Raw genomic sequence first — 21,221 nt, forward strand, 5'->3', positions numbered from 1 at the left:
AGTCGCTGGTTTAATTGGTCTGGCATTTGATTGAACATTGGGATACATTCTCTAGGTGATTCCATTTTTTCAATCAAGGTTGAGAATCGCTGATCTATGTGAGACCAAAAAGTTGAGTCGGAATGAGGCAGGTAAGGCCTAGGGATTAGAAGAGCATTCAGAGAAAGGAAAGAGTATATAAGGCTCAGAGCCAATGCGCTTCTATTCTGCTGTGCAGTACTGAGCACTTTTATGTGACAGCATTGTTCTTGGAACTGAGAATAGAGTGGAGAATAAAATCGCTGCCCTCATGGAGTTACATTCTAGTGGGCAACACAGAATAAGCAAATAACTAGCATCATCTGTGGTTGTACTGCGAACCAAGAAAGAAGGGTGAAGAATGGAGAGGCAGGAAAGGCCCTTTTAGACGGAGTGGTTTAAGTCGCAGCATGTGAGCAGGGACCTGAAGTAGAGGAAGGAGCAGGGAAAGAGCCTGTGCATGTTTAGCAGAGAAGCGCCACAAGCTCAGGGCACAGCAGGTGCAAAGGCCAGGAGGTGGCAGCATACACCATTCCTGAAACAAATCCAGCTGAAGCTAGAGAGTATACGAAGAGGTTGCGCACAGTGGCTCACACCTATAATCCCAGCACTTTGGGAGGCCGAGGTGGGTGGATCACTTGAGGTCAGGAGTATGAGACCAGCCTGGCCAACCTGGTGAAACACGGTCTCTACTAAAAATACAAAAATTAGCCACGCATGGTGGTGTGCACCTGTAATCCCAGCTACTCGGGAGGCTGAGGCAGGAGAATCACTTGAATGCAGGAGGCAGAGGTTGCAGTGAGTTAAGATCGTGCCACTGCACTCCAGCCTGAGACTCTGTCTCAAAAAAAAAAAAAAAAGGAAAAAAGATTCTAACTAACTTTCCATCAACTTCAAAAGGTCCGTCATCAACCCTCCAATTAGTTAGCAAATTGCATTCTGGCTGGGTGTGGTGGAAGGCACCTGTAATCCCAGCTACTTGGGAGGCCGAGGCAGGAGAATCTCTTGAACCTGCAAGGTGGCGGTTGCAGTGAACCAAGATCACGCCACTCCACTCCAGTGACAGAGCGAGACTCTGTCTCAAAAATGAATGAATGAATGAATGAAGAGGCAAGACAAGATGCTGGCAAGGTAAGGAGAGGCCAAATCCCTGGGGCCTTGTAGGTCATGTAGAAGACAAGTGGTAGGAAGGACTAGACTGGTGGTGCCTGGAGTCGGATAACTACGTCATATTTATGGGACTACTGTGCGATGGTGGGAGATGACCGTGGTTGGGTGAAATCTGTGAGATTGGGAAAGATGGCTCTGAGCTCAGTGCCGAAAAAAACTGGTAAGAAACCACAGAACTTTGGGGTCTGGGTTAGAATTTACTAGAGCTGAAAATTCTTTATTCAGCTGTTTGCTTCTACTGATTCCATAATCTTGATGACAAAGGCTGAAAGGGAAAAGAGCAAAGGGCCCCAAATATGCAGGAGGATGTGGAGGAAGCTCCCAGTGAGAAATTACTTGCAAGGAATTAAAATTCCACCTGAGGTCTTACCTGTAAGAGCCTGTCATAGGGCTTTAAGCCACCAAGATCTCCTGGCCCAGCTGGGCGAATATTTTTGACATACACTCCTTTCTCCAGTAAGCCATCTGCTACACTGAACCCAAAGTCCTCCATGTCAGAGTCCTTGTACAAGGTCACCTGAAGAGAGAAAATGGGATGTGAATATTTAGCTGGGGTGGAGACTTTTCCTTCTGCAACTTCTTGATGAACAATCTTTTCACACGAATTTAGTCACATCATGATTTGTAATATCAGCATCAGTCAGCTCCCTGCACCAATCCTGCAGCCTTTTTTTCCCACTCCAAGAATATCTTTGGACTTTATGAATTCCCAACCAAAGCTGAAAAAGGAGGAGAACTGGAACGTCTGGGTCCTCCCTCCCTCCTTTTCAGTCGTCATCAGGGGGATATAGGAGAGAACTTCCTCAAGGCAAGTTGACTTCTACTATTTTCCTGGGGCAACCTCTGGTCAGAGGAGCTGCCCGCAGCAGCCCTTTACAACTGCTGAGATGTTGGGGAATAAGCCAAAGGCCTTTCCTTCCTCCCCACTCCTGCCTGGTGCTCTGCTAAGCACAGTGCTCGGCGTATCCTCTCTTTGGGCAAGTACCATGAAGTTCATCCTTTTATTTGCTCTGGAACCCCCAATGAGCACCATCACAGAACACTATGTAAAAGACCTGAATGTGTCTCTATGACAACACCTTGCTCTGCACCTCGGCTTAACTCGCTCCCTCAGCATTTGTCTAGGGTTTGATTTGGTAACTGAAGGCATCTACCCTGAGTGCTGCGGCCTGCCCCCCACCCCGGGTCTCTCTGCATCTAAGGCCAACCACAGCTGGCTAAAGCCTCACTCCTCCACCAGCCCTCACTCCTTCACCTGACCACCTGCGAGTGTTCATCTGAGGCTAAAATAATCATTTGTATATTCATCAAATATTTATTGAGTTCCTACCATATTGTAAGCACAGCATGGGGTGCTAGAAACAGCAGTGAACAAGAGGAAGAAAAGCCTGCCTTCCAGAGGCACACACATGAATATGTAGCAGTCCCCAAGCTCTCACCGCACTGGGCACTGCGCCCAGCAGCACACTCAGCGCTTGATGCTCAGTTAACGTTTGAGGGGGCCACGGGTTTTACCAAGTTGTGCCAGATGCCCTCCACAAAGACTTCAAGCAATGGTCAGGCTTAATTTTCTACTGTAATTATATATATATATTTGTTTTTACACAACTAATGCATGAATACATTCTTGTAAAATAGTCAAAACAAAAACAAAAACAAAATCAGAGCTATGCAGGGCAAAATGTGAAGGTTAAAACTCTTATAGCAAGTATCTTTGTTTATATCCAGTGATTTTACTTCAGAGGGCTATGGCATTCTGAAGGCAATATGAAAGTGGTCAGTGTGTGGGTTTTTATTTTACTGGACAGACAGCTAAAATATCAAGCTGACTGGGTCAACACTATTCACCAACCAGTCCCAGTGGTTATTGCCATATTAGAGGTGAGGAAATTCAATTTCACTGGGGTTATGTACCCGCTCAAGGCCACAAAGGTAAGAATGGTGGGGACGTGTCTGTGAGACTCCAGACACCAAGTGCCTAATGGTTCTATTCTCCTGCCACTAAACATGCACCTCTCGGCCTCACCACTTTCAGTGTCCTCCTGGACAGGAGCCACCCTCAGGAGCCGGTGAAAATGCAGTCTCAGACCCACCCCAGACCGACTGAGAATCTGCAGAACTAATGTTCCCTGAGACGACCCTCTTCACACGCTCATTCCATCATTGTGTGTGCATGTGTGTGTGTGTGTGCACACACACTGGACACTACTATGCGTCAGGGACTGTTTTAGGGACTGAGGATATTTTTCACAGGATAGAGTGATAAAAAAAGTAGAGCAGTGAGCAAAACACAACCTTTATGAGGACAGCCCAGTGAAGAAATCTGATTTAATCCTTATAACGATTCCGTAAGATGGGTAAGAGTCTTCATTTTAAGAGGTGACAGATATAAAGTTTTCTCAGTCTGCCCTCACTTATACAGGGATAGAGTAGTAAGCCCCACTTTACTACATAAAGGGTGTGTGGGGTTATGTGTGTGTGTAGCCTAGTGACACCAGCACCCCCACACCGGCCCCACCACCCACCGCCCATCTAACATGCTCACTGGTGATGCTTAGGGAGAAGTGGTTAGGTTCACACTGTGTGGTTGAGAGCACCCCTACCTTCCAAAGCAATACTCACCAGGGGGAGAGGGGAAGACTTTGCTGGTGGCCTGGGCTTAGGTTTGTGGCAGATCCCCACTCCCCAGCTCCTTGAGGGGAGTAGGGGTCCTTTTTGCTCATGGATATATCTCAAGCCCCTAAGGCAGCACCTGTCACATAGTGGGGTTAGTATTTTGACGGACAGAAAGGGCTTGTCCTGCACCTTATGAGGCTGAGGATCAACCATGATGTCCTGTGCCTTTATGAATCATTGCAGAGAAAGAGAGTGTGAACTAAGAGAGATTTAATTCTGGAGTTCCAGCCATCCCCCTCACCCCTCACCCAAGGCCATGCTGGGAATCAGGAAGGCTGTCCCATGACAAAGTGGCCAGGCAAGACAAAGCTCCAAGGTCGACACTGTGTGGACACGAGAGGGAGGGCACTTCTGGTACCAGGGCCAGGCCGGCCTATCTGTGGGCTGAGGAGACCCAGATTCCCGGACAGTGAGGAAGGTAGGGGGAGGGTCCTCCAATGGGGGATGCTAGACTTCTTGCTAGTAAGGCCTGTGGATGTTGAGTGAGCAGTTTAGAAAGCAAAGAGATATTACTGTCTCTACCAGCTTGTGGAGCAGATCATATACAGACAGGGAAATGAAAGCTCAAAGAGAAATAGCAACTTGCCCAGGATCAAACTGATGGCAACAGAGAATCGGCTCAAATCAAGGCTTCTGACTGCAAAGCTTAGATCTTGCCATAGCACACTCTCTCCTTGCCTAGCACACAGTTGTTTAATAAATACTCATTGCAGAGAGGAATATTTAGGCTGTTCCACAATTATGTTTTTGCCTTAGGCCAGATAGGAGATTTCTGCTCCTCTTTCCTAAGGAAAGGAAGAGTAAGTCACTGGAAGAAAATATTCTTGGTGAAAATTTCATACATATTCTAGAGTAGAGAGGTTGGAACACCCATCTATTCACCACTCAGATCCAACAACCACCAAGAGCTTGCCATGTTTCCTTCAGCTATCCTTCTCTTCTTCGGGGGAGTGTTTTCAAGCAAACACCAGTCCGCATGTCATTTCACTCCTACATACTTCAGTATACACCTCCAAAAAATATGATCACTTTCTTTCATAAACTCCACATCATTAATTCACTGGCAACAGCAACTCTTCTTATGTGATAGCCACCACTTCCTAGTCCATAATTTCCCCAATTGTCTCAAAAATGATTTTTTATTTTTATTTTATTTTTAATTTTTTGAGACAAGGTCTTGCTCTGTCACCCAGGCAGGAGTGCAGTGGCATGACCTCGGCTCACTGCAACTTGGCTCACTGCCTCCTGGGTTCAAGCAATTCTCCTATCTCAGCCACCTGAGTATCTGGGATTACAGGCATGAGCCACCACATCTAGCTAATTTTTCTATTTTTAATAGAGACAGGGTTTCGCCATGTTGACCAGGCTGGTCTTGAACTCCTGAGCTCAAGTGATCCGCCAGCCTTGGCCTCCCAAAGTGCTGGGATTACAGGTGTGAGCCACTGTGCCCGGCCTCAAAAACATTTTTTTAAGTTGGCTTGCTTAAGTCAGAATCCCAACAAAGTCCACACACTACCTCTGTGTTAAGTCTGTTAAATCTCCTCTTACCTGTGGTGGGTTCTCGTCCTTCCCCCTGTGCTGCTGATCTATTGCTGAAACTGTGTCATTTGCTCTGTAGTATATTCCTCTGTCTCCCACATTTCTCTAAATGGAAGTTAAATCTAGATGCTTGATTTCAGTCGAGGTTAGCTTTGAGGTGGGGACTGGGGGCAGGAACAGTTCATAGGTGGCACAGTGCTTCCTATCACATCATGTCTAGCTGTCCTACTTTGGGTGGGTTCAGGTGATGACAGCCTCATTCCTCTATTGTAAGGGTTCTCATCAATCTTTAATCTAAAGGTTTTATTTATTGATCACTGTCTGAATCAAAATTTCATTAGGGGTTGCAAAGCGATAATCTTTTTCTAATCCTATTAACATCTTCTGTATTTATTAGCCTAAATGATTTTGTAAAGGAGAATTCTCTTTTATCAATTAGTGCTGCTTTGTTACTCTGAAATACAGCTTTTACAAGAAGGGCAGAATGAATGAATGCTAATTCTTTCCTTTCAATTTCAAAACAGGGAATTTGTTCACTAAATACTTCGAATGGTGGCCCAATGAGAATTTGTGTGTGGGGAAGGTGGGGGATGGGATCAATATGAACCTATAAATTTTGATATATTCAATGCATTTTTTGTTTGTGTTTTGAGATTGAGTCTCACTCTGTGGGCCAGGCTGGAGTGCAGTGGCACAATCTCGGCTCATTGAAACCTCCACCTCCTGGGTTCAAGCAATTCTCGTGCCTCGGCCTCCTGAGTTGCTGAGATTACAGGCACCTGCCCCTACGCCCGGCTAATGTTTATATTTTTAGTAGAGATAGGGTTTTGCCACATTGGCCAGGCTGGTCTTGAACTCCTGATCTCAAGTGATCTGCACACCTTGGCCTTCCAAAAGTGCTGGGATTACAGGCGTAAGCCACCACGCCCAGCCTATTCAACGCATTTCAATCAGTTGCATTATTATTCTTTTGGATGCTCAAATGTTCTCATCTTTGGCCACAGGAAGTCTTTCCTGTGGACTCCTGTGTCCTTTTGATAGGATCCATTGGTTTTGGTCGCTTCTTTACTTTCCGGCACAAAATATGACTCACCATGAATAGTTCTTATCCCCGATCTGGAATCAGCTATTCCTCCAAGGAGCCTTCACTGGAGAAAATATTGTTGATTTATATTCTATTCTAGTCCTTTTTCTTTCTTTTTTGAGACAGGGTCTCACTCTGTCACCCCGACTGGAATGCAGTGGCGCGATCTCGGCTCACTGCAACCTCCACCTCCCAGGCTCAGGCGATTTCTCCTGCCTCAGCCTCCCAAATAGCTGGGATTACAGGCGCATGCCACTCCTGCATGGCTAATTTTTGTAGTTTTAGCAGAGACAGGGTTTCGCCATGTTGGCCAGGATGGTCTTGAACTCCTAACCTAAAATGAGCTCCTGACCTCCTGCCATGGCCTCCTAAATTGCTGAGATTACAGGCATGAGCCACCACACCTGGCCTATTCTAGTCCTTTTCCTTCTATCTCCATGCTGCTTTCTCAAAGGGATGAAGAGGAGAAATAGTGAGAGAAGGGAAAAAATGAGAAGGAGGCTAGTAGTTATTAGAATTGGTAATAGATTGACATTCTTCAGACCCTGTTTACTAGTGGGTGAAATCTCTCTGCCCGAGGTTCCTGCTTATGTCCCACTCTGGCTTTATCTGTGGGATCTCTTGCCTTTTTGCCCCTTTTCTGTCTTTGTTCTTAGCCACGTTTTCTCCACATGGCAAGCAACACACCTGGGGCAGGGACCGTCGCCACCATTCCTAGAGGGTGGGGCATCCTCCTTGCTATCTCCATTCCACTTGCAACTAGGTACAGAGGTGCAGTCCTGCAGACTCTGTGCCTACGGCTAGTTGGGAAAGTGCATCAGCTTCTGCTCTGCAGGCCTAGCCATATCCTTGAGGTGCACCCACATGTGAGGGTGCTAAATCTTAAGCTTTCAATGGGAGCTAGGAAACTCACTTTGGTCTTAGATCTGAGGCATGTTTTCCAACATAGTAAACCAGAATCCTTGCATTTGAGGAAACATTTGGTGTGGGCCTGGAATAATAGTGAAGTTCTTCATGACTCTATTGGCCTGTGATTCTTGGGTGTCTGCACCACAGGCCAGAACCCAGGAGGGGCACAAGGAAGAGTGGCACCTAAAACTAACAACACCACCCAATGGTAGTACACCAACCAAAGCATTAGAGATGAGTGCCAACCACAGTGGGTTAGCAGAGTAGCTCATTAACTTCAAGGTCACAGTTATTGGCAAAGAGCCTTGGTTTTTCTGAGCCTCAGAGTTGAAGAGTTGATGGAAAACTCTTCAGGATGAGAGGCTAATAAATAGTTTAAATCTAAAAGTAATCTATTTCTCCAGAGATATCTCCCAAGGTTAAAGGATACTGAATTTCAATAGCCAGCTATATGGTTCTCCTGGAAGTAGCCTAGTAATGGCAAATTAACAAAAATAAAATTATTTTAAAACTACATAAAAGATAAGAGTCTAGAAATCAATAATTAACAAAAATGGGGAGCACAGGGGGCTGTTCTCAAACCAGTAGCAATGAATTGTGCCATATACCCCTGTTTACCTGGATATTGGTAGTGGTTACCTTGGATTTACTTCCTGTGCAAAAATAATTCTAAGGATTCTGAGGTTTAAGTTCATACTTCCCCCTACCCCTGGAAATGAATCTTTTATCCAGTTACTTTCTTACATATGATTGCTTTTGATCTTACAACACCTCTGGGCAGCAAAATCATTGCCTTTCCAAGAATGAGGATACTGAACCTTGAAAAAGTTGATGGACTGACTTGTCCAGTTAGAATGCAGAAGCACCAGGATTCAAGACTAGAATATCTGACCTCGTTTGCTGTGTTCTTTCCACCAAATCATGATTTTTTTTTTTTTCGACATGTAATCTCCTAGCTGGTCAGGCAGCCTTTATTCATTTCCAACTGCCCAACCAACTAAAGATGAATAATTAATCATGCCCACTGGGTTTCTTCTCATCAGAGCCCTTTGTGGCTTTCCAAGAACATCTGCATAAAGTCCTGCTCCATGCTCCTATGGCTCACCAACCTGTCAGTTGGCTTTGCATTCTACCCTAGCCTGTGTAAAGCAAAATTTTTCTTGTAGGGTCTGTCTTTTGTGCTGACTAGAGGATGCCCCCGGAGAACCTGGACCATGAACACAGTTGCAAGGTTTTTCTGTTCTAAAAGAGCCAGTGAGCTTCTCGGAACATAACACTCAGGGCTAGGATACAGTTCTACAAAGCTCAGTTCAATTTTAACTATTTGTCAGCATGTGCTACAATTGCTTCTAACCCTCCTGAGAACAGAAGCTTTCACAGGAGGCAGGGTGGGTTCACCATGATTCACATTCAACCTTGTTTTATATTTCTAAGCAAGTCTACCGACATGTTTGAAGAACATCCTCAAGGCCAAGATCAGAAACCCGATGCTTATGTTTTCAGTTTTGACACATGTGAAAGGCTTTAACTGCAGAGCCAACTCTCCCCACTTGGATTTTAAGGGCAATTGCATCTGCTGTCTTGAGCAAGTCATGGCAATTGACAGCCATCCCAGAAGCAGTCCTCAAGCTCTGACAGCTCCCTATGGCTCACTCCCTTGTCCCAATGGCCTTGAGAACCAAACTGACACCTACTTCTCAGAAACAGTTTTCCCATAAATCACCAGGCATTTTGGTTTACTCATGACAGATACCACTGGGGTAGCCCCATTCCTTTAACTCTGACAATTTAAGTAATGCCAGTTTTGAGGACAATCCTATACTACCTATGGTGCTGGAAGAAAACGAAATAGAATACAGTCTTCTAAACTGGAAGCCTACAGCCCAAGAAGAAGCAATCTCAGTTTATACTACTAGAAACTCAGGGGTTTTGAGAGGAATTGGGTCAGAAGGCAGCTGCTGCCTTCCTGTCTGGGGAGTCTTCTTGGCTGAGGAGAGAAAGGAAGAGCTGCTCCAAATGCCACCTCCTGCTTCATTCTGGCAACAGTGTGGCACCAAGAGCTGGAAAAAATGAGGGCTCAACAATGAGAGAATCAGTAGCTGGGATTTTGGCTGTAAGTATAAGCAAGCCAGGGGCTACCCTGGCCCTTGGGGAGCTGAGTCCCAACCAAAAAAGTTACACAGTTTTTAAGATCTGTGGCAGACTTAGGTGCTGCCTTTCTCATTCATCCCAGAGCACCTTCACACATCTACTGGTTCACATAGTAACAAAAACGAAAGAGCTAGATCATTCTCCAAATTCTCCAAGAGATCAAACCAAGCTGCAAGCAAGCAGCTAGTCCCCTAGTTATTGCCAGCTCCATTGCTGGTCTTTTGCACTTGCCCCAGCCACCACCAAGCTGGCTGGCTGTGGCGGAGTCCCTGTTGCGGGTGTCTTTGCTCAGGCCTGCCTGCTGCCTGCTCACAGCACCCCTCCTGACTCAGCCTCTGCTTTCTAGCTCCCAGCTTGGCTCTGGCCTGGCCCTTCTCCAGCTTTTACCCTTTTCCCAATTCCCTCTGCAACAGATTGACCTCCGTTCCTCTCAGGACCATGTGGGCCTCCTTGACTCAGGAACATCCTGCAGCTCTGGGTGGGTGGCACACCCTCCACCCACCCTCGGGGCCTGTGGGACTGAAGGCCAGGCACACTGTCATTCAGAAAGGATGACAAGTTGCAACTAACCAAACTCCCACTGCACTCAGGGCTAACTGTCTTGATTTTATTTCCCCACTGTAGAAATTGCCGATGCCTGATATTACGAAGAGGCTGGGACAAGGAAAGAGCTCTCTGTACCCCATCTGAGAGAGAGGAAGAGACATGCCCTGGGCTAGAGTGTTACCAATTTAATCTTTTTTTTTTTTTTTTTTTTTTTTTAATGAGACAGAGTTTCACTCTTGTTGCCCAAACTGGAGTGCAGTGGTGTGATCTCGGCTCACCACAATGTCCGCCTCCTGGGTTCAAGTGATTCTCCTGCCTCTGCTTCCTGAGTAGCTGGGATTACGGGCCTGCACCACCATGCCTGGCTAATTTTGTATTTTTAGTAGAGATGGGGTTTCTCCATGTTGGTCAGGCTGGTCTCCAACTCCTAACCTCAAATGATCCACCCGCCTTGGCCTCCCAAAATGCTGGGATTACAGGCGCAAGTCACCGCGCCCAGCCTTCAATTTAATCTTTACTATAGCCTTGCCTGACAAGTCATATGGCAGAACAACAGTGGAGGAGGAGGACGATAGGACTGTTCTCCAAGAATCTGGACATGAGGGAAATGGAGTGACCTTCAGAAAGTACACCATTTGTAAGTGAACATTCTACAGATAATACACAAACTTACATGCTAGAAATACGTACATTTGATCACAACAGAGATGCATAAGGATATCAGGGAGGGATGAATGGTCCCAGACCAGAATCAAACTTAAGGGAAGCTATTAACATTTCTGAAGAGAGGTGGTGGTGGGTCCAGGACAGAAGCGATAAGATGTATGATCAAGCCCTGAGAAATAAGGCACACTAGACACTAGCGAGCCTGCCGCAGAGGCGTCTGAGTCTAGGGGATGGCAATTCTCACTGCTTCTCTCGCTCAGAGCTCAGACTCTGCAAACGTGGATGGCAACTTGTAGAAAAGTGATAAGATACAAATTGAATTCTGTCTGGTAGAGATGCAAATCATTTCTCCCCTCAGAAAAGATAACCTCAAAGGCTTTGATTTTATTTCCCGACAAGTTATTGGGCAGCTTTGATTCCAACTTAGAAAACTTATTCCAACATTTCTTTTCCCCACTGGCTGATATATCACATATCATATATATATCCTACTAACTTTATATATATATACACACACACATATACACACACATATATACATATATATACACACACATATATGTATATATGTGTGTGTGTGTCCATATATATATATATATATATATATATATAAAGTTTCTGTATCTCTTTTTTTTTTCCTTTTTGAGACAGGGTCTTGCTCTGTCACCCAGGCTGGGGTACAGTGGTGAGGTTGTGGCTCACTGCAGGCTTGACCTCTCAGGCTCAAGTGATCTTCCCACCTCAGCCTCCTTAGCTGGGACCACAGGTGCGTGCCACCACATCTGGCTTTTTTTTTTTTTTTAAATTATTTTTTGTAGACACTGGGTCTCACTATGTTGCCCATGCTGGTGTTTAACTTGTGGGCTCAAGTGATCCTCCTGCCTTGGCCTCCTAAAGTATTGAGATTACAGGTGTGAGCCACTGCACCTGGCCCTCCTTATGCCTCTTTAAACAAGTTTTGCCATCCTGTTATCATTCCTTGCTAATGAGTTAAATAAACATTTTTTGACATGAGCCAGTCATTTACATAAGAATTGTGTTTTTCAGGAAATTCTGTCATTTGTGACGATGTGGATGAACCTAGAGGACATTATGTTAAATGAAATAAGCCAGGCACAGAAAGAGAAATACTGTATGATCTTGCTTATGTGTGGAATCTGAAAAAGTTGAACTCGTAGAAGCAAAAAGTAGAATGGTGGTTACTAGAGGCTGGGGTAAAGAGGAGACATTGGTCAATGGGTACAAAGTTGGTTAGCTGGCAGGAATAAGTTCCGGTGATCCACTAAACTGAAAGTTGACTACAGTTAATAATAATGTATATTTCAAAATCGCTAAAAGAGAAAATTTTAAATGTGGTGGGCATGGTGGCTCATGCCTATAATCCCAGCACTTTGGGAGGCCAAGGAAGGTGGATCATGAGGTCAGGAATTCAAGACCAGCCAGTCTGAGACCAGCTTGGCCAACATGATGAAACCTCATCTCCAATAAAAATACAAAAATTAGCCAGGCATGGTGGCATGCATCTGTAATCCCAGCTGCTTGGGAGGCTGAGGCAGGAGAATCGCTTGAACCCAGGAGGTGGAGGTTGCTGTGAGCCAAGATTGCACCACTGCACTCCAGCCTGGGTGACACAGCAAGACTCCATCTCAAAAAAAAAAAAAAAAAAAAAAAAAGAAAGAAAGAAAGAAAGAAAGAAATGATAAGTGGTTGAGGTGTGAAAGGAAAATAAAATTAAAATCTCAGGACCTCAAACTCAGTAAGCCAAAGGAAACAGTGAAGATGGGCACTGGGTCCTGCAAACCTCCTTCCCATTTCGTTCCTACATAGGTAGCTGTATACCTTTCTCATATTTTGCCCACAAGGAAATTCCTGGCGGGCCCTGAGATCTTTAAAGCAGTTCAGTTGAATTTCACCCCAACAAAGTAAATTAACAGTTTATCTTCACAAATATGGGACAAAGGACAGAACTCAAAGTCATCCTTCTGCTCACCTGAGAAAAATGCATATCTGACTCCTCCCTACCTATACTCTATAATTATTTTATCTTATGTAAAAATGCAGATTCACTGAGCTCCAGATAAATATATAATGGATCACTCCTTTCACATGAAAAATGAAATGAGGATGGTCAGGGCTGGATGCCATTATTTATTCAGTGAAGCTAATCAAAAGGCTCAAAAGAACGCAACAGCTTCCGTCTTTTATCCACCCTCTCCCTCTCTTTTTTTCTTTACTCTTTTTCCTTTAAATATTGAAGCCCACAGACCCTCTCTGGAAAAAGCACAGATCACAGATTTTTCCTGTGGTATGTGTCCCTTTTTCCCCAGGGCGTGTCCATAACCTTGGCAAAGTAAAAATGACTGAGACTTGTCTCAGTCATTTTCTCTGACTTACAGAGGTCATGAATATGCTAATTACTCATGTATAGATTCTACAATGTATACATGTATCAAGATATCCCTTTGTACTCCATAGATGTATATAATTATTATGTGACTATTTAAAATAAAATAAAACTTTAATGATTATGGTTTTGGGGTGGGCATGGTGGCTCATGCCTGTAATCCCAGCACTTTGGGAGGCCAAGGAAGGCAGATCATCTGAGGTTGGGAGTTCGAGGCCAGCCTGGCCAACATGGTGAAACCCTGTCCCTACTAAAAATACAAAAAATTACCCGGGCATGGTGGTGTGTACCTGTAATCCCAGCTACTCAGGAGGCTGAGGCAGGAGAATTGCTTGAACCTGGGAGGCGGAGGTTGCAGTGAGCCAAGATCGTGCCACTGCACTCCAGCCTGGGCAACAAAGCCAGACTTCATCCCTCACCTCCCTCCCAAAAAATATTATGTTTTTACATTTAAAATTTGTGTCTTAACAGAATCATAGAGAAGGGAAGCTAATGGAAATGATACATTTTGAGGATGGTCAGGGCTGGATGCCATTATTTATTTAAAGCATACAAGCCAAACTCCAATCCTTGTTCCACAGTTCTATGTTCCCCTGATAATGTTCTGTTTGCTGTCCCTGGTTCTACAGGGAGAGAATTTGCTGGTCAAACTGATAAGTGACTGGTCACTAGACACACATCCACTTCTCTTTGTGAATGGATTCTCATTCTGGTATACAACCTTATGTCTAGGGTGGCTTTATGGCAGCCATCTGGATCTTGTTGAAGTCTGGGATGCTGAAGAAGTCTCACTGTGTGAGTTTCTGACCCTGTAAGGTTGAGGCAAGATGGAATGATGGTGACTTTACCAGAAAAAAATGCTATCTTGTGAAGTCTCCCTCTTCTGATAACAAGTGACCCTGCTCCCTCTTTGGTAAGTGAGGAAACTGTGGCTCATGGAAGTGGCATGGCTAATGCATGGCAAGCGAGGTCTGCCTGACTAGGAAGCCTATGTTCTCTCTAGTTTATCACTCCTTGCCTGAAGAAAGAGAAGCAGATCTAGCAAAGGGTGGTAGACAAAAACAAAAAGTTCATATATTCAATGTGTTGTTTTTAGCTTCCAGTGATTTCCACAGTACACAATTCTACACTAGGTATTTGGAGAAAGTTGAAGCCTGGCATGAGGATTCATTTGATCTTGAGAGCTGACTCCAAATATTTGTGAAGAAAGAAGCATGTGCAAGAATAAGATACATATTTCCATTTCATACTTCCTCCGAGGGCTGAGCCTGTTCCTGACTCAGAGAGATATTGCAAAAGAAGCTGGTATTATACACATTGAAAATGACACTCCTTCTAAGGAGCAAAACAACTTTATCATATCAAGCAGAGCAAAGCTCCCCTCTTGGAAAACTCAAAAATGTTCAAAATGCAAACTGAACTTGGCAGGGGGAAAAGGCGATGGTAGCAAAAGCAGCTGTGAAAAATAAAGAGGTTACTTGTGAGTGACTGAAATGTCCAAGTGTCATGCCACCAGCAGCCACAAATAAAAGCAGATGCTGCAACATTTTTTAAAAGCATTTCTGTAAGAAGATAAAAATGGCTGCATACAATTAAGAAGTATAATTTTATTGAAAAGCATGAATGACAAAGCAAAAGGAAATGTCAATATGATTTTTGTTTTTGTTTTTGTTTTTTAAAGAGAGGGAGTCTTGCTCTGTCACCCAGGCTTGAGTGCACTGGCTCAATCACAGTTCACTGAAGCCTTGACCTTCCAGGCTTAAGTGATCCTCTCGCCTCAGCCTCTTCAGTAGTTTAGACTACAGGTGCAAGCCACCACGCCCGGCTAATTTTTTCATTTTTTGTAGAGATAGGGTCTTGCTACATTGCCCAGGCTGGCCTCTAACTTGTGGGCTCAAGCGATCCTCTTGCACTGGCCTCCCAAAGTACTGGGATTATAGGTGTGAGCCACTGTGCCCAGCCTCAATATGAATTTTATAAAAGTCCAAATGCTCTGCATGTGGAGAACTTTCCATCTACAAAAAATCGTTCTGCCTTAAGGTGTGCAAAGAAGTGAGGCCAGAACTCATTTCAGAAACAGATTAAGTGGACACCAAAGGATATTTAAGCTTCAGAAGGGAAAGAAGGGTTATCAATGAACGGTAGCTGAGATCACAGGCCCCTTATCTGCAAAGAGAGAGAATCTGTGATAAGCTGTAGTACAAACCAGAATTCATTTGAAAGATAAGATGCATAAGATGCAGAAGCTCCAGGGCCTTACTTAGATGCAGCCTCATTTCCTTTGTACCCTGCCACCCAGCTGTTGCCTATGATTTCACTGAAACAGTTATCACCTCCACTTAGCAAAACCTAAGGGAGTGATTCTCAATTTCTATTCTGCAAAAGAATCCACTGAAAAGGTTGCTAAAATGTAGATTCTCGGCCCATGCTCCCTGAAAGTGCTGACACAGTAAGTCTGGGCTGGGCTTAGGAACCCTTATTTTAACAAGCACTCCATGGAAAAGGTCATCAGGGGTTCACACTCCAAACTACTGTCTAAGGCTTTAATCCTCAGACTATTGGTTGAGACCTACTAGTAAGTCTTGAAGTCAGCTTAGTGAGATTAGCATTTGAAAAGAAACAGAAGAAAAATCAGAAAAATGTCAGTGTATACTGTGCAGTCAATTTTTAGTTTCATTCACATATATGAGTGGGGGTATACACGTGTAGTGAATTGTGAGGTACAATATATTTCAGACTGTGCATCCCAGCTGAGAAAGTTGGAGAAACAGTGGCCTAAAGGGACATGAAGATCACTTCCCTGTGACCCATTTATCATTTTCTCCATCCCCACACTGAGTTCCAAATCACTCCAGCTCCACTTCCCTCCCATGTCTACAAAGAGGATATAAGACTGTGTTTCTTTGTTCTCCAGTGTCAGGCATGACAACTGGCTTTTCAGCTTCAGGAATGAATATGGACAACTTGAAGGAAGGCTTGCCAAGATCCCAGTGGAGCCTCAGATGCAGCAGATGATGAGAAGTGAGTGAAAACCCTTTAGATTCTGACCTGGGGACCTTCCAAAGGTCTGGAGGAAGAGAAGTGGTAGGAAGGAATGGGCAGAAAATGAGGGGCAAACTCTGGAGAGTAGGTTGAGACCTCAGAAGATGGAAGGTGAGCCAATGCATTATTCTTTTTGTATGGAGATGATGTTAGTAACCCACCTGCAGGAGCTGGAGTGTTTTTAGCTATTTTTCCTCCCAGCAATGGCACAGATCCTTGTCCATTCGTTCATATTATCTTGATCCAACTTATAGTGAAAATAATAAGGTTTAACAGGTGCTGGTCTAGATATGAACAGGCGCACCACTTGTTCTCCTGCATACAGCCTAACCATGTGAGAAAGAGCCACCAGAAAGATAGCACCAGGAAAATAACGCCAAGCATGTTTAGCCCGGTGTGCTATTCATCTCTCCCAGCTTCCCCACTCTGGTCTTTTCAGCCCCTTGGGAATTCCTCCACTAGGTCCATTTGGAAAAGAGTACCAAGGAGGCTCAGGGGACTGAAAACCAGCTGTGCACTGTGGCTTGGGTTATCTTCAACTTAAGGAAGGTGTTTTTCTCATTCCCTAGCTCCCTTATCCATGCCACCACCGCAAAACAGTACCTTTCCCTAATGTTCACAAAGGTTTAATACAGGCTAGTAGTACCCCAGGGGAAGAGAGCTCCATTCCTTTAACAAGTCACTTGTCTTTTCATGACATTAGGTAGTCTTTCAGTGTTCAAAAGACACCCACATTCAACACACACACAATTACCACTCTTTGCTCTAAGCAGCTTTTGTAATGACCATATCTCCTCCCCAGCACTTCAAAATTGGAGGGTGTGCCTACTAACAAACATCCTGGATGGTCTATCAGAGTAAGTGAATTCCTTAAAAAAGAACAGACACCCAAGATGCGAGCATAAATCACTCCAATAATTCCATAGTATCTGGCCACAGGCATCTCAGCTATATCTTCACTTAACTAGGTCATTTTAGGGGGCTTACAATGTCTAGGACACCACTTATTTTTTAGAGCCTTATTTTGTTGGGGATCAATTCAGAAAAAAAAGTGAAGCTTCATGGGACATGTATGTATTGTCACCATTTAGAGAAAATGACAGAAGTGAAGGAAAAAAGAAGCATCCTACTTATAAGGTCAATTTGGCTCATGCGTGTCTGTGATCTCAGGATCTTACAGTTCACACACTGCCACACAGATGTTCCAACCAGTCCATCCACAGCCATTCATTATGCCAGTAAGTGGATGATACTTTTTTTTTCTTTTTAACAAGATCTTTTTTTTTTTTTTTTTTTTTTTTTAGCAGAGCCATTTTAAACCTCAGCTATAACAACACTTGCACGTCCAATTCATTGTCATTATCTTTGCTAAATGCTTTCAGTGAAGGAGGGATGAGAAAACAGGTCTTTTGTATTCCTGGGCTATCAATAATCTTCTTCCTTGGAGGTAACTGTTTCACTCCAGAGGGAAAAAATGACTCTGTTTTATACTTGCTATTTGTCTATCCTGTATAAGTGAGGGCTGAGAATGTAAAGTACATAGCACTTGCTAGGCACTCATTATGTGTTGATATGGATTCTCTTTGGGGTGAAGGAAGGTGGGTTATCAAGCAGGCTCCTGTTTCTCTGGGGAACAGAACTGCACAGAAGAGGGGAAGGCAGTGTTCACAGGTACCCGAGGGAACCCGCAGGTGCCAGCCGTCTTCTTGGTACAGCAGACTTAGGACTGAATATGTGGTTTCCGCAATTTAATCACCATTGGACTTCTTACAGCCTAATGGTGTATGTCAATTAGTATATTAGGATATGTGACTTACCCATCAGACACATCTATTTAGGGTAACTGGATAAACAAGCTAACCTGTGGCTGGGGCCTAAACCTGGGTCATCATCCTAACATGTCAGAAATGTCTTTGCTTTTTCTCTTAGTCTGTAATTCCTCCTAGCACACAAGCTTCCAATTCTAGACTCTGGTCATGTTAGAATATTTGCATCCCCTCCCTCAGTGCACCACAATCTTTGACATCCCTTTGCACCTGCTTTTCTCTGTGCTTGGAATGCCCACCCATCCTCTACCTTCCTCTGCATAGTCAACATCTACTTCTAGGAAGTCTTTTCTGTCCCCTGATAGTGGGTTAGGGCCCACCCTCAAGGCTGCCCAGGCTTGCCTCTGTCATTGGACTGATGCCATTATCTTCCCACTGTTTCCCAGGCAGTCTCCTCATTAGACTCCGTACTCCCTGGGGAGTTGTAATACGTTCTTTGAGTGAATTAATGCACAGTATGGGTATTAAATGAATGGAGGAGTGAGTGGTGAAAGAATGAACCCAGGATTGGAACACAAAGTTCAGAACCCAACTTCCCATACTATCCTTTCTCTCACAGTATCCTTGTCAGTTGCAAAACAAATAGCTAGGTTTAATAAGGTGGCTAGGGAAATTGAGGTCTTTAGAGGAAAAAAGCGAGTAGCTAGCCTATTGCCTCCTCTGAATCTGACATTTATTTGCTCTTCTGGGTAAGGTAACGAATGTCTAGCTAATAGATTATTAACCACAAAAAATGTCTTGGTTCTCAAGAAAGATGGCATGAGATTGTTACCATTTTATACATCCTTTTATATTAACAAAAAATAAAGCACTCACCCTAGAAAAGGAAACTAGACCTCCATTGCTCTCCTTGGCCCAGGGTTCCACAAACACTGTTACTTACATATGCCTTGGCTAACCCTGCCAGCAAATCTTGAATTCAGCTTTGTGTGCAAGAGTGGGTTTTGTTCCATGTAGCAAAGTGAGGCAACTATGACAATTAGAGACAGAACATAGCCAGGGCTTGCCTTATCCTGGCCCAAGACATCTAACACATCTTGGAGAGAACTCCATGTCTCCTGAACAACATAATCATCTACTGCAAGTCTGTAATGAAAGATTAAGCCTCCCTGCATTGAACCTGAACCCCTTTTTCTGTGAAGCTATGAGTGTATGACATTTAGAAAATCCTTTCCCCTTCCAATGAGATTGGAATAATAAACTAATTATGCAAGCTCCGTGTGACATTGGAGCCTCAAATTTTTGTAAGAAGATTATGGCCATAAATAATTTTTTTTTTTTTTTTTTGGGACAGAGTGTTGCTCTGTCACCGAGGCTGCAGTGCAGTGGCACAATCTTGGCTCACTGCAACCTCTGTCTCCTGGGTTCAAGTGATTCTCCTGCCTCAACCTCCCAAGTAGCTGGGATTACAGGTGTCTGCCATCAAGCCTGGCTAATTTTTGTATTTTTAGTAGAGACAGGGTTTCACCATGTTGGCCAGGCTGGTGTTGAACTCCTGACCTCAAGTGATCCACCCGCCTCGGCCTCCCAAAGTGCTGGGATTATAGGCATGTGCCACCACACCCAGCCACCATAAATACATTTTTGATAAATACATTGCTTGAAAGCTAGTTTTCCCTGCTTTTCAGGATAACCTCCCAGAGATTGTATTTTGAGAACAAAGTCTCTGAAGATCTGTTTTTAAGCTTCTTTGCTTGGCTGAGCCCATAGGAGGATACCATTGCCATGCTTACATCTCGGCGTACATGCTATGCAGAATGGCTGCCAAATTTGACCCTAGGGAAAGAAGAGAAAGCTTACTGACCTTGTGCAGCTCCACAGGAGTTGGAGACATGATCTCCTTTATTTCTTGTTTCATTTTTCTCAGGGTTACTGACTTCCTACCCACATCTGAAGGCAGGGTGTTGCTCCGAGTTGTTTGGCTGTAGTGCGGCCGCGAGCTGCTGCGCTCCTGGAAGCTGGCCTGTCGCCCCAGCTGACTGCGAGGTGTTGGAGCCTCATGATTCAAACTCATCGTGCTCCCCGACATGATTGTTGCCTGTGGCATTGACAATTTTTAGAAACAATTAAGCCATGGACTAAGGAAAGGATTTGGTGCTCAACAGTAAGCACATTTCTCCTTCTGCGAGGTAAAAATACAGTCTCTTCAGGGCAAAACCAAAGGCTGGAAAATGGATGTACTAATTGAACTATGAAAGTCTGGAAAATGCTTTGCAAGTGACATTTATAATGCACATCTCAAATCCAATTTAAGTACTTAAGCCATTGAGTTTATTTAATCAAATACCACCCCTGGCAGTTTTGAGGCAAATTGAAATGCTCTAACATTTGCTTACTGTAAACTACATTTTAAGCATTCACTTTCCACTCAGTGGGCTCTAACAGATGGGATTCATGAGGCCACCTTGAATATATCTTACAGAAACGAATTAAGAACTTCTCAATGGACACCAGGCTGCCTGTACTTGCAATGCTGCCTCTATCTCCAACTGCAGTTAACAATGGGCTGGAAAGGGATGACTGATATAAAGGCAAGGGGTTCTTCCCAAGCTTCGTCTAGACTGTATATTGTCTTTCCTTTGGCCAAGTGGCCTGTCCCCAGAGTTTGTAGACCAGCTAAGTCTCCATATTATTTGATACAGATTAAGTGTTTCTTAGAAATACTCTTTGTATAAGATCCTCAGAGAAAGTAAAAATAATCATTTATTATGTTATTATATTCAACTTTTTGCTCACAAGCAGTAGGACTTGAATTGGATGTTACCAGTGAATTGGGAAGTTTGTTCGGTTTCAAATATGTTCTTCCCTGAATACTTCACAAGCAATGACAAGATTAGATACCAAAGATGAATAAGGCTCAGAACTGGAAAAAAAAAAAAAGGATTTGAAACCAATATCAAGTAGTGGATATTCATTTCTCATGGTTGGAGAATGCTAAAATTCTGAAAATATGCCTGTAGCCAGTTCTGTACTCCTGGGTATAATAGTATAAAGGTAAACTAGCATTGGTAAATCTTCCTGATACCATGGGGACAGAAAACAAGTTCCATTTGCCATGTGATTTAGTTGTTTATATTAATACTGATGCTAAAAGTAACCGCAGCTTAACTTGTTGAGTCTTTTGAATGTAGTCACTCATTTAAGCCTCACAACAACTCTATGGGGTAGGCACTGTTACTTCTCTCAATTT

General features: G+C 43.9%; 1 protein-coding gene and 1 long non-coding RNA gene across 24 annotated transcripts in view; one reads left to right on the plus strand and one right to left on the minus strand.

The window, feature by feature from the left end:
- GRIP1 (glutamate receptor interacting protein 1) overlaps positions 1-21,221 on the minus strand; it is a 721,908-nt gene that overhangs the window by 4,428 nt on the left and 696,259 nt on the right. For all 22 annotated transcript variants that reach the window (XM_047428622.1, XM_005268757.5, NM_001379351.1 and 19 more), the window contains 2 exons: positions 19,836-20,069; positions 1,559-1,705 (listed from right to left, as the gene is read on the minus strand). In XM_047428622.1, coding sequence (XP_047284578.1) covers positions 1,559-1,705; positions 19,836-20,069 — 381 coding nt within the window. The remainder of the gene's footprint in view (positions 1-1,558; positions 1,706-19,835; positions 20,070-21,221) is intronic.
- Positions 5,280-19,975, plus strand: LOC105369811 (uncharacterized). Of its 2 annotated transcripts, XR_007063352.1 has the most exons (4): positions 5,280-9,509; positions 10,172-10,730; positions 16,078-16,184; positions 19,899-19,975. It is a non-coding gene; the product is annotated as an uncharacterized LOC105369811 (long non-coding RNA). The 2 variants fall into 2 exon arrangements; XR_945040.3 differs by having other exon boundaries at positions 5,280-10,730.

The sequence above is a fragment of the Homo sapiens genome, chromosome 12, assembly GCF_000001405.40.
Source record: "Homo sapiens chromosome 12, GRCh38.p14 Primary Assembly".
NCBI classification, from domain to species: domain Eukaryota; kingdom Metazoa; phylum Chordata; class Mammalia; order Primates; family Hominidae; genus Homo; species Homo sapiens.